We start from the raw sequence: 12,452 nt of genomic DNA, 5'->3' as shown, positions 1-12,452 counted from the left end.
GGATATGTGATATTTTTCCATCTGTCTCCTTGATGGGTAGCCAGGCTCTTCCAGGGCTGGACTGTGTCTTGTGTGCCTCTGTATCCCCAGCCTGCATGTAGCAGACACTTGACGGAATGTGCTGGGGCAGCTGTGTGTTGATAGTGGAGGTTCTTATCCTCTCTGGCTCTCTCTAGGGCCCCGGCTGGTCCCTGCTCAGGCCTGTGTTCAGCTGGTGACCTGGAGAGACACCCAGGGATGGGCAGGCAGGCTTCTCATAAAGCACTCCCATCCTCAGTTTGGTGTCCCTGATGGATGGGTGCCAACACTTGTTGGGAGGTTTGGGGGGTTCTCTGTGGCTCCCCTGAAGCTCTTCTCTCTGGGACTCATGAATTCCTGGGACTGTGGTACGGGCATGTGTCTGTTTCCTTCCTAAGCCAGAGAAGCCCTCTTTGGGCCTTGTTTGCACTGAGTCACAGCTACATTGGCTAGTTAGTTAAAAATAGGCTCTAGTTATCTCTGCCCTGTGATAGGCCCTCTCCTCGGGCAGAGGCAGGAATCCTTATGTAAATATTTGGAGGAGCTTGTGGCTGGGGTGGTTTCCATGCCAGGATCTGCTTGCCTGGACTCCTGGAGCCACGAGGGCAAGGTGGCAGTGGGAGAGTGAGAGGTGGCATGTGTTAGAACACTCAGGGTGTTCACATTACTTGGGAGATGCTGGAGTTCATGGTAGTACCTCGAGCCGGTGGAAGTGGTTGGTCATTTGCTGTAGTGACAATGGCTGAGTCTTAAAAAGTCAGTAGGACTTATTGGAAAACCACCAGGTTTGAAATCAGACTGACCAGAGTTCAGTCTCTGTGATTCCTCGCCTTACTGGCCCGTGGCCTAAAACAAGTTACATGACTCCTCTGAGCATCATTTTCTCCTTTGTAAACAGGGACGATGTTATCTGCTCCACCAGGGTGATTGTGAGAATTAAAAGTGATCATGTGTGTAAAGCACGTAACAGAGCCCTGCACGCAATAGACCCTCATTTAGTGCCGGCTGCCACCACAGCCAACTCTAGTCTTGCTATCTACTTTGCCAGCAAACATTACAACCTTGCACTGGATATCTAAGGGAAGAATGAGAGGTTCTGAAAGGACGTAGGATCTCCAGATGCATGTCCAGACCTCTTTCCAATGTGCTCACATCTCTTTAACTTCTGTTGGCCTTCAGCCCTACGGGTAAATCACTTCAACAGCTGCCCATGTAGGGCTGATAACTCAGGACTCACCAGCTGGGAGAGGACTGTAACCAAACTTAAAAATAGAGACACATCCATTGCCTGGTGCAGGGGCTGTGCAGGCCTCTGGAGAGAAGGCCAGGCAGCATCTGCACACCCAGGCTGAGTTGGACTCTGGGCAGCTGGAGGCTTCAAGCCTCACGACGAAGGGGACCCTGCCAGGCAAGCCCGGCTTTCCTTGGTCCAGAAGTTCTGAGGGTATGTGTCCTCATCCTCTCCCCCAACTAGCACTGCCTGGCTAGAGACTGACCATTCTTCAGAGAAAGAAAGGTGGAGAGGGTGTGGGGCCAGGTGTGGGGGAGATGGGGATCCTTAGGCTTAGCAGAGCTGTCTGAAGCTGGGCTGCACTGATTCCGTGTAGCCTTTGGTATAAGGGGATGGAGAGAGCCACTAGGTGGCTTTTTAAAGGAAAGTAAGGCAGTCCTATCTAAGGTGAATGGAAAGTGAGCTCAAAAAGATAGGCTGCAATATGATTGATCTAATTTCTTGTTTAGCCCCAAACCAGGTCACTGTGTCTGAATAGAAGTGTGTCAGAAACAAACCAGAGAGTGCCCACAGAACAAGGCCCACACAGAAAGGTCAAGCCCTCCTGTTGAGGGAATACACCCAGATAGGGTGACCTTTGTGCCCAGAGCAGAGTTCTCTAATATTGTCGTTAAATTGTGTCTGTATCTGCTTCCTCCATGGCCTCCCCTTCCTCTGTGCAGGTGCCACCATGGAGTCTGACCACTGCTGAGCAGACAGCCACCGAGGGCCGAAATTCTGAGCCTTCCTCTGGACCCAGGCAGGAGACATACAGACAAGAAAGGCAAACTCACCATGGCCTCCACCAATGCAGAGAGCCAGCTCCAGAGAATCATCCGAGACTTGCAAGGTATGGTAGGTTGCTGGGCAGGCTGAGTTTGGTTTTGAGGGACTTGTGGCAGGGCTTTTTGCTGTTGCCAGTTGAAATTCAACCCTTTCATTTTTGTTCACACAACGAGTAATTGGAGTCCTCAGGTCACATCATATTGAAATATTTGGGTCTCAAATATCCACCTTGTGTAAGGCTTGGAAAGCTTGCCTGGTTTCCTTTCAGAGAACTGTAAAGCCAGTTTGTAAACAAAATCATACACCCGGCTCCAGGACTGGGTCTGATTTCCATTAGTGCACACATGTGTGTTTTGAAGCTGCCTGTTAAGTCTTTGGCTAAATCCCAAACTTCTGGGCTCTGATGAAGTTGGCTTCTTTGGAAAAGAATGTTCTTTCTCCCACTGAGCAGGAAGGACAGAGACCCACCTATCTTGTTTTGCTGCCCAACTGGGTCCTGGCTGGCGGATGGCCCATTGCCTGGGATGCACTGTAGGTCCAGTCCTGCTGCCTCCCAGACTTCCCTGAGCTCAGCGTTGTCCACTGAGAGAGGCTATGACTTGTATCCCTTATCTCACTGGAGAAAAGCAAGGCAGAGGAAGGTGCAGATAAAGTTTCATAGACTCAGGAGAAACGGACTATTTTCTTTTTGGCTGCAAATTCCAAGTTTCACTCTTTCAGATGCTGTCCCAGGGGTCAGAGTTTTTATAAGTTTTCCATCCCCACTCATCACCAGTGCTGACCTTTAAGCTCTTCGGAGCTCTAGGACACTTGATACTACACAGTCTGAAGCTGACCACTTCCTCCATGCCTGCAGAGTCCGCTGTGACACTTTTCTGACAGACTAAAGGCCCAGGCTTCTAACTGCTTGGGCACCACAAGCAGTTATCTCCCATACCAGGAGCCATTGGCCTAGCATGGCCACAGTGCAGTTCTCATTCTGAAGTTCCAAAGTCAACAAGATAAAAAACATTTTCTCAGGCTTTTAATCTTGTGTCTACCATGCCTTGGGCCTCTGATAGCTAACAATTTCATGGCATTTCATGTGCACCGGGCACTTTCTATACCAACAGCCTGGCACCAGTCTATGCTCCTAACCACTCTAGTCTACTTTCAGCTAAGACATTAGATGCTTTTTTAAATCTACACAGAGAGGCAGAGAAAGTGAAATGCCAGTCTCTGCAAATCTGAGTTTGCCACTGGCTTTAAGAGGTCTCTCCATAAAGTAGATAGTCTTTTCTGTGTTTCAATATCTGGTTCTTGAGGATAACTTTGAGACCTGGAGGTCCTTATTGGGAGGGAAGAGGGTGAAATAGGGGACCCTCAGGTAGAGCTTCTGATCTAGACCATTGTCTATCCTATGTACCAGCTGAGTCTGGCCACCCCCAACATCCTGGGCTGATTTCAATGTCCTTTACATAGGCCACAGAGCACTTTGGTGGGAATTCTTGAAAGGTGCCACTTTCTCAGTACCCTCCACTTTCATCTGTTGGTAAACGTCTTAATAAGCATACAAATCTACAGCATCTACCATGAGAGTGGAGTGTCCTTAACTGAGGCATCTTTGTGTGGTACACAGCCTTCACTCCTCTGCAGGGCAGCCCACTTATCCTCTTGGTGACAGCAGTTTCAAAGACTTTGGAGTCAGGCAGGGGTGTGCTCAGCTTCTGGCTTCTCTTTTAACCCTCGAAAATGTTGGACAAGTCCCTTCACCTTTCCAACGCACAGTTGCTTCCTTCATGTGCCAGGTGGGTTTGATGATAACACCCACTTCTCAAGATTATTGAAAGAATCAAATAGTAATTCCTGCAAAGCTAATATTACTTAGAATATCAGAGATTAGAGCTGAAAATTTCATATTTCATATCCAGAGTCTACTCCTTCAAAGTTTCAGGAGTTCCCAGATCAGGTTGCGAGTGTTTACCTGGCCTGAGGAGGCAGGAGGGTGGAGGAGGAAGGCTCTTTGTCTCTCCCAGGCCCCTGGCTCACTGGCTGTCAGTGCCAGCCATTGCAGACACTTCTAGCAAGGTACAGTGGACAACAGTCACTTGTAAGAATCAGTCCCAAGAACCTGTCTCCACCATTTGCTAATCTTTGCCTGAGGGGTCGTGTTGATTACATTTTCAGCCATCTTAGGCTTGGCTTCAGTCCTGGACAGGTCTGCTTCAAACCATGGTTCTTGGGAGCAGGGTTTAGGAATTTAAGAATTGCCAGAGAAGCAGATAGTTTTGTGAAGCACATCCCACCATCTCTGCTGGGAAAAGGTTTTCCAGGATCTAAACCAAATCCAGTGTCTCGATAGTCCCTCTGTCCCACAGCAGAGGCAGTGAGTGAGAGTCAAAGGTGGGTTTTCCTCTTTTCTACACAGGGAGGTGAATTATCTTAGAAGTTAAGAGGTGAGCTCTGGAGTTAGACAGCTCTTGAGAAAACCAGGGTTCTTATTCCAGCTCTGCTGTTTGCCACCCATGATCTTTGGCCAAGTGCTCTGATTTCTCTGTACACTCCTCATCTGCAAAATGGGGATAATCATAGCAGACTTCATAGATTCTAAATTGTACTTTTTTTTTTGACATTTTAACAGCTCTGAAACTGTAATGTATATTATAATTAATTGTATCTTAGATTCATCGAAATAAGGCAATCCCTGCCTCTCAATGCCATATTAAATGAGAAAAATACATGTAAAGGCCCAGCCCCTCAAGGACACTCAGTTAACAGAAGCAGGTGCGGTTGTCATTGTTGGAATTGTGATTGTCACTACTATTATTTGCACATACTGGGTATTCTGATCCTGCGCTTACCTATAATGAGCAGTAGGATTATAGTGAAGAACCTGAAATGTGGCTAGAATAAAGGTAAAGCTTTCTGGAAGTCAGTATTCAGGGACTGAATTGATTCATCCACACAGCAAACATTTGTTGTCCAGCTACTATATGCAAATTACTAGCCCTGGGTGGTGGACAGACAAGGGTGAACAAGAAATGTGCCCAGTCAACAAGCATTGTAAAGTATCTGTGAGCTCTCAGGACATTTCAACACTCCCTGACTTGGAGTTATATCTCATGGATACTTACATACCCTTTTATGTTTCAGAGGTGCTTTGTATCACTGACCACTTGCTCCTCATGCTTCCTGGATTATTTCTGCTTCTCTGTCTGAGTTTAGTCACTATCTGGTTACATGTTCCTATTTGTTGTCTTAAAGATGCTGTGACAGAACTAAGCAAAGAATTTCAGGAAGCAGGGGAACCCATCACGGATGACAGCACCAGCTTGCATAAATTTTCTTATAAACTTGAGTATCTCCTGCAAGTAAGTGATGCCTGTAATGTGTTGATTTTTGCACTGGTATCTCTTTTCTCCCTCTTGGGTGACTCATCAGCATTCAAGATATGGTTCAGAAAGCCCAAGGAGCCAGTAAGCCCTCGTGGTTAGATTGAAGGTCAGAGCAGTCCCCAGTGCCAGCTCAATCCTCCAAGTGTGATCCTTTGGGGAATTGCAATGTTGCCCCTTAGGATGGCTTTGAGAATCAAGAACATCCTTTAGAGATTTAGGTCATTGTAAGGTAGGTCAGAAGGTTACTGTATGGCAAAGATCTTAACTTTGGGACAGTTACATACCCCTTTGGGAGTTTAGTGAAAGCTATAGAGTCTTCCCAAAAAGACATTCGTGTATGTATACACACAATCACGCATTTTTGCAGGCAGATTCTAAGAGTGTGTGGACCCTCTAAAGATTATCCATGGGCTTCTGTTTTAGAGCTTTGCTACTCAATGTGCAGTCCATAGACCAGCAGCATCAGCATCCTCTGGGAGCTTATTTGTAGTATATTCTTGGCTCCCACCCCAACCTACTGAATCAGAATCTCTGGGGTCAGCCCAGGATATTTTCTTTTAACATATTGATGGTATAACTCTTATCCCTGCTTAGCCCAAAAAGTGCTGATGTAAAAAACACTGCAGATGTGGAAAAATGCATGCAACTAAAATAGGCAGGAAAGAAATGCTGTAGAAGTTATTTTAGGGTAGTGGTATTAGGTGTTAAATTTTTTTCTATTTTTGTGTTTTGTTTTATCTAGATATCCTAATAACATACGCATATCTTGCTTCTGTAATCAGAAAAAAAATGCTATAAAATGTTATAGAAAGATATACCTGTGTCATTGTGAACACCATTATTTTGCAACGTCACATCCCACCAAAGCACGTAGTATGCGGGCCCACTAGAGGAAAGGCCCCTAACGTGCTGAAGGGCTTGCCTCTCTCATGACATTTCAGCTGGTTCTTTAACATTGTAAAAATGTTTTTGAGCCTTTCTTTTTTTCAATTAAGCCCATTTTGGTTTTGGGTTTGAAATGACTCAGAGCTGACATTTATTTAAATTTATTGTAGGTGTATTAAAACGATATTGAAACTGAAGTGTTGAGTAACTGGGATAAAAGGTCATTATCTTATTTCCCTAAGTCGAAGCATAGTTAACACTCTTCATATTGCCCTTAAGACTCTTTTCTTTTTCTTTTTTTTTTTTTCTTTGAGACAGAGTTTCACTCTTGTTGCCCAGGCTGGAGTGCAGTGGTGCAACCTTGGCTCACTGCTACCTCTGCCTCCTGGGTTCAAGTGATTCTCCTGCCTCAGCCTCTTGAGTAGCTGGGATCACAGGCGCCCGCCACCACACCCAGCTAATTTTTGTATTTTTAGTAGAGATGGGGTTTCACCATGTTGGCCAGGCTGGTCTTGGACCCCTGACCTCAGGTGATCCACCCACCTCAGCCTCCCAAAGTGCTGGATTACCAGCGTGAGCCACCGCACATGGCCAAGACTCTTTTCTTGTATTTCTTTCTCATCCGTTAATAACACCTTCGGTGGTTTTCCACCCAGCTGTATGAACAGGGTATTAACACACCTTGATTTGCCAATAAATAAAAATAATGCCAATAAAGGGCCTCACCCAGTGCTGGCACCTAAGAAGCTATTGTTATTATTTATCATTTAAATGCCGGAATGAAGAGCAGTGGGTTTGGACCTCCTCTCCCTTTCCCTTTCCCTACCCAGTTTGATCAGAAAGAGAAGGCCACCCTCCTGGGCAACAAGAAGGACTACTGGGATTACTTCTGTGCCTGCCTGGCCAAGGTGAAAGGAGCCAATGATGGGATCCGCTTTGTCAAGTCTATCTCAGAGGTAAGCTGAGCAAGCAGCCAACAACTTCATGTCGTCCTTTTGCCTGCTTAAAGCAGCTCTTGCAGAGACCTTTGCTGCAGACAGCTAAATAAGGAAGTGGGAGTTTATGGGTGGTAAAGAAATCTAGTCCAGGTATACGCAATGCCCATTGTTGCAGTGGCTCAAGGTTGGGGAAACCACTTCAGTGAGTGTTTATCAAGGGGAAGAATGCTGAGTCCTGAATGTACCTTAGGCCACAACCCGCATGTTACTTAACAGGGTGGCCTATTCACATACATTGTAGTCTGCTAATGGCAGCCCTTGAGATGTAAAGCATAGGATGACTCCATCTTTTTAAAAAACTCATTTTCTGAGATAAAATTCTTTAGAGTTTGCTATGCTGCTTTCCCTACACTTTGCCCAGGAAACTTAGATTTGAAATAAGAATGATGTGGGATCTCAAGAGACATTTCTTAAAACAGTGATGTGCCAACTTTCTACTTTAAATTCTGCGCCCCTCAAGAGCAAAATGCCATGGCTTTGCTGTTTTACAAAACTCCAGAACAGGCCGGGCGCGGTGGCTCACGCCTGTAATCCCAGCACTTTGGGAGGCCGAGGCGGGCAGATCACGAGGTCAGGAGATCGAGACCATCCTGGCTAACACAGTGAAACCCCGTCTCTACTAAAAAACACACAAAAAAATTAGCCAGGCGTGGTGGCGGGCGCCTGTAGTCCCAGCTACGCGGGAGGCTGAGGCAGGAGAATGGCGTGAACCCGGGAGGCGGAGCTTGCAGTGAGCCGAGATCGCGCCACTGCACTCCAGCCTGGGCGACAGAGCGAGACTCCGTCTCAAAAAAAAAAAAAAAACTCCAGAACAACAAACACACACACATACTTCACATACACACTCACACTCTCCTTTCTGTTTATTTTCCACCCTCAACCCCCAGAGAATCTTTCTTCTCTCTCCTCAGCCTATTCCATCCAGGAGTGCAGAACTTTGCATATCAGGGAGCAGGTAAACCCCTTGATTTGAGACAGGAGGTTTGTACATTTCTTCTTTCTTTTCAGTAAGTGTGAAGTCAGTTTAAAGTCAACACACCTGCTGCTTGGCTGGCTGCCCACAAATACCACAGCCTAAGGTATTCTGGGAAGGGCTCCTCACCAAACACGCCAGCTGGAGCTAAATGACTTTCTTCTTATAGAGAATGATGGTGTTAGATATGCTGACATCAATGGCTGGACATTTCCCACCATTTGCACTCTCTGACATCTGAGACGATGAGGAAGGATCCTGGCTCTAAAGGGCTGGTTCTGCGAGTTTCTTTAATGTCCATGTTAGTGTGGATGAGTCTTGTGAGGTCTGGTGGGATACTTGGGTCCATGAAGTAGAGCAGTATTTTAATTTTAGTGCATCATAAATGTGGAAGAGGTTCTCTTTGTCACTCTCCTCTCTTCATTCCTCAGCCGCTGCATCAGAGCAACTAAAGCCTTTAACTTTATGACTTTGGACAGTTGAAGTCTGGAAATAAATTTAGTTTTAGTCCGCATTCCCCAGGATTATGAAATGCTTGCTAAAACACATCTACTTTTTGGCTAGTTTCTTCTTCTTTTCTCATAATGCAAACAGATCTTTAGACAGTCTGAAGCCATGAAAATTGACTTTCTAGAAGCAAAAAACATTCCTTGCTTGCATGAATGTTGGTGTTTTAGTGGCTGGCATAGGCTCTGCTTCCCATAGGGTCCAGTTTCATCTCTGTTGAAGACTGCTCTCTGGGGCATCATTGGTTGGAATGGCTTGGAACATCCCTAGGCTAAGTGAGTTGCTGGTTACTTGGTTAATTTTAATAATCAAGTAGCCATCTGGGTCTTTAACTGAGAGGGCAAGAGTTAATGGATAAGAAGCATTTGTAGGTTCCCTCAGACCCCTTTGAGGTAGGCGGTAGCTATTTAGGCTAAAATAGGTGAAGGTTCTAAGAAACCATTTCTGGAGATTCAGTATGGGCTCAGCTTGGACTGTGTTTCACTGTGATGAGGGTGTAGCTCGGCATCGGGCTCTTGGCACAATGACCTGGTTTAAAGCAGAATCAGCTCTCCTGTACCCTGCAGATTTCCTGTCCTTTGCTGCCATTGTATTGCTTCTCTGGATAGTGTATGTGGGTTCTGATTAGAAGCTAAAAAAAATTAAGGAATTAGTTAATGAAAGTGGATCCATAATCTCAAAACATAAAAAGGCCATGCAGCATTTTGATTTGCAGTACAAAGGAACTATTGTTCCCTTCCCCCTAAAAATACCTTTTAAAATAAATAGTTCCCTTTATATATATATATATATATATATATATATATATATATATATATATATATATATATATTTAATTCAGTTAATGGGCCTGATTAAAAGTATAGCCTCAAATGTTTGCCATTAAAAAAGTTTTGATGTTCTAAAGGCTGGTATAATGGTAAGTTTGCCAAAAATAAGGACAAGTTCCTGTCTTTGGGAGCTTACAGACCTGGGCTGTGATGTGAGGGTCTTAATGAAATTCTGCAGGGTGTGTGTTTGTATAATTGACATGCTTCACTTTACAATGCCTTGCTCACCTCTTTCCAACGGCCTGAATTTCCTGGTTATCACCACTAAACACTTTGTTCTCACCTCAATCGTCAGTGGAAAACTGATTTAGACAGGATATACCATCAAGATTCTCCCCCGCGCATCTGCTGAGATCGTCTATCTGCAGACATGTCATGGTGGTTTTTATAAAGCCAATAAACCAGGCTGCTGCCTGCCTTCACTTCCAGGTGTCCTGGCTGTACCCAAAACATACATGGGGAAATGTCTTACAGCTTCTGTAGTTAAAGAGAGTTAACACCTTTTTGTTTTTTAAAACTACTTCATATGGTATCATTTCCTTGAGTCAGCAGTAAGAAGAAATATAGTTCTGAGCTAAAAGGTGCTATACACCAGGATGTTTACCCCATTGAATCAGGAAATATGTGGTACAGCCTCAATCACTGGCATTTAATGCCAATATTTCCTGACTCAATATAGTGTTGGAATTAAAATTTGAATAGTATGAGGTATAGGAACCCTCTGGCAAACCACTGCTCCCCCTTCCCCCATCACATATACACACTGTAAATATTTCTGACCTTTGAAGGGGTGGGGAGGGTATTGGTTCCAGCTTACCCTACCCAGAGCCAGAGCCTGAGAGAGCAGGTGCTTGTGGTAGGTCAGGAGGTTTTGAATTCCTGCCTACTTTCTTGAGTTTCTGGGCTGACCTATCAGGAATATGAATCCTAATTTGCAAACTTGCCCAAGTGTCTTCTGTGGCTGTCCCTTTTATTCCATCCGCCTTGGCCATTATATGCTCCCAGCTGACAGAGCCCTGCTTTGCAGCCTCATGGCAGAGTCTCTGACCAACATATCCCATTTCCATCACAACAAGCTTTTGAGTGGTGAATTTAAGCCTCAAACAGTTACGGTCACATCTCCTTCCTCTGAATTGGATTTTAGGTATAAGCTCTGTGGGGAGAGGTTTTGAAGACAGGCCTGCACCTGGGCCTTCCTATGCCATCCATGCCAAACTTGTGAGACAGACCCATATCCATTTTATCCTTAGCCCAGTGTGACTGGGCTGCCTAGAGACACCCCTGGTCTCACCCCTGGGCTCCTTCTGATTCAATGTAGTGATTTGGCATATCTGATAAAGAACAGGAAATCCAACCAGGAAAGCGTTGGCAGACTTGTAGATTTTACTGATGGTTTCATGGAACACAGATGAGGCAGTTACACGGCCGCACTCACGCACCTCTGCCCTTGTCCCTCCCTTCCTCCTTCTGCACATGTTTCTGCCAAGCCCTTTAGGCCCTTCCCCTGCACCTGTTCCCCACGCACCTTAAAAACAAACCATCATTAGCTGAGCTGAGCCCATCTCTTCCTCCTCAAGCTGACTTCTGGTGTGAGAAGTGCTTCACTTACCTACCTCCAGGTTTTACTCTAATATAAAACTGAGTTTTATTTGGTTCCTATCTGACTCCAAACCCAGAGATTCTGATAGAGCAGAGGAGGGAAAGTGACATTCCAATAGAATCCACAGATGTTTGGAAGCCTCTTGTTAATATGTTTTCCATGATATGTTTGCTGGAGTCTGCAGATTATTCTCAGATGAAGGCCTGCAAGTAGTTCACCCACTTCAAGCCTTACTCTCTGCGGTAAGAGTATCAAATGTGTTGTGTCCTTTGAAGGACAACGTATAGGGTAAAATTGGGTGACATTTTTTGCCCTGTATCTGTGTTTCACAAGCCATCTATGAGACCAGGTCTGTATTTGGAGTTAGGCTGACAGCTCTTTGGCTCTATGTAATCTGCTTTTTCCAGCTCCGAACATCCTTGGGGAAAGGAAGAGCATTTATTCGCTACTCCTTGGTGCACCAGAGGTTGGCAGACACCTTACAGCAGTGCTTCATGAACACCAAAGTGACCAGGTAAATACAGGACAGGGCTGGGGTTTGGGATCATCCCGTGCAGAAATGAACTAAAGTTCATTAATAATAATGACAGCTGCAACAGTAGTGCTCATTTGTGTCCCCCGTGACACTGCAGACTCCTTCCACATATATCATTGTCTTCCACCCCTCCTCCCAAAGTCCTTGACACATGTGGGCAAGTAGCACTGTGTTTTTATAGGTAAGTGAGGCTCAGAGGGGCTTAATGCTTTTCTCTAGGCCTCACCCGTTACTCTCTTAACTCCCGATACCAGGCATTTTCCCTGGTGGATGGCATGTCCTTGGTGCCAGCACTACTGGACAGACAGGTTACAGCCTTGGCCTCTCAGCAGAATCACCTGTGGGGCTTTTAATACTACTGAGCCTGCGTCCTCACCTGGCATACTGAGTGAACACACTGGAGACTGGTGGGTAGCCAGGACTGGGAGCCACTGCAGAGCTCAGGTCAGGTGTGCAGTCAGCCTTTGTGCGGGTAGTGCTGAAGCCTCAAAAGGGAAGAGAGAAGGGAGGAGAGAGGCAGGGATTGAGTCTATAAAGGGGAGAATGGGTGTCAGCTTAGAAGCTGCAAATCAGGTACCAGTCAACTAAACCTCTTTGGGTTTTCCAGCATCTCTTGGCCCCTTTCCTTTTGGAGTATTCCAAATTTTTTTGAATCTAAAAAAAACTACAAAGGGAA

The 12,452-nt window shown here is 45.5% G+C and overlaps 1 protein-coding gene across 14 annotated transcripts in view, besides 1 other annotated feature; it reads left to right on the top strand.

The window, feature by feature from the left end:
* The window catches only part of FYCO1 (FYVE and coiled-coil domain autophagy adaptor 1), a 77,922-nt gene that overhangs the window by 8,831 nt on the left and 56,639 nt on the right, over positions 1–12,452 (top strand). For 8 of the 14 annotated variants that reach the window (NR_170107.1, NM_001386427.1, NM_001386423.1 and 5 more), the window contains exons 2-5: positions 1,972–2,138; positions 5,318–5,424; positions 7,164–7,289; positions 11,649–11,755. Coding sequence is in view for 12 of the 14 variants with exons in the window: in NM_001386427.1 (NP_001373356.1) it covers positions 2,084–2,138; positions 5,318–5,424; positions 7,164–7,289; positions 11,649–11,755 (395 nt within the window). In the remaining 2 variants the exon portion in view is untranslated. Of the gene's footprint in view, positions 1–1,311; positions 1,463–1,758; positions 1,843–1,971; positions 2,139–5,317; positions 5,425–7,163; positions 7,290–11,648; positions 11,756–12,452 lie in introns of those variants that run through there. The other 6 variants (XM_047448902.1, NM_001386421.1, NM_001386428.1 and 3 more) reach the window with 4 other exon arrangements.
* Positions 383–677: an enhancer, noted in NCBI's record as "tiled region #2695; HepG2 Activating DNase matched - State 5:Enh". NCBI's record gives its function as "activates a minimal TATA promoter and a strong SV40 promoter by Sharpr-MPRA in HepG2 cells {active_cell/tissue: HepG2}" and the evidence as "EXISTENCE:reporter gene assay evidence [ECO:0000049][PMID:27701403]".

This window comes from Homo sapiens, chromosome 3 (genome assembly GCF_000001405.40).
Source record: "Homo sapiens chromosome 3, GRCh38.p14 Primary Assembly".
NCBI lineage: Eukaryota > Metazoa > Chordata > Mammalia > Primates > Hominidae > Homo > Homo sapiens.
This window is presented reverse-complemented; position numbering and strand designations above follow the sequence as displayed.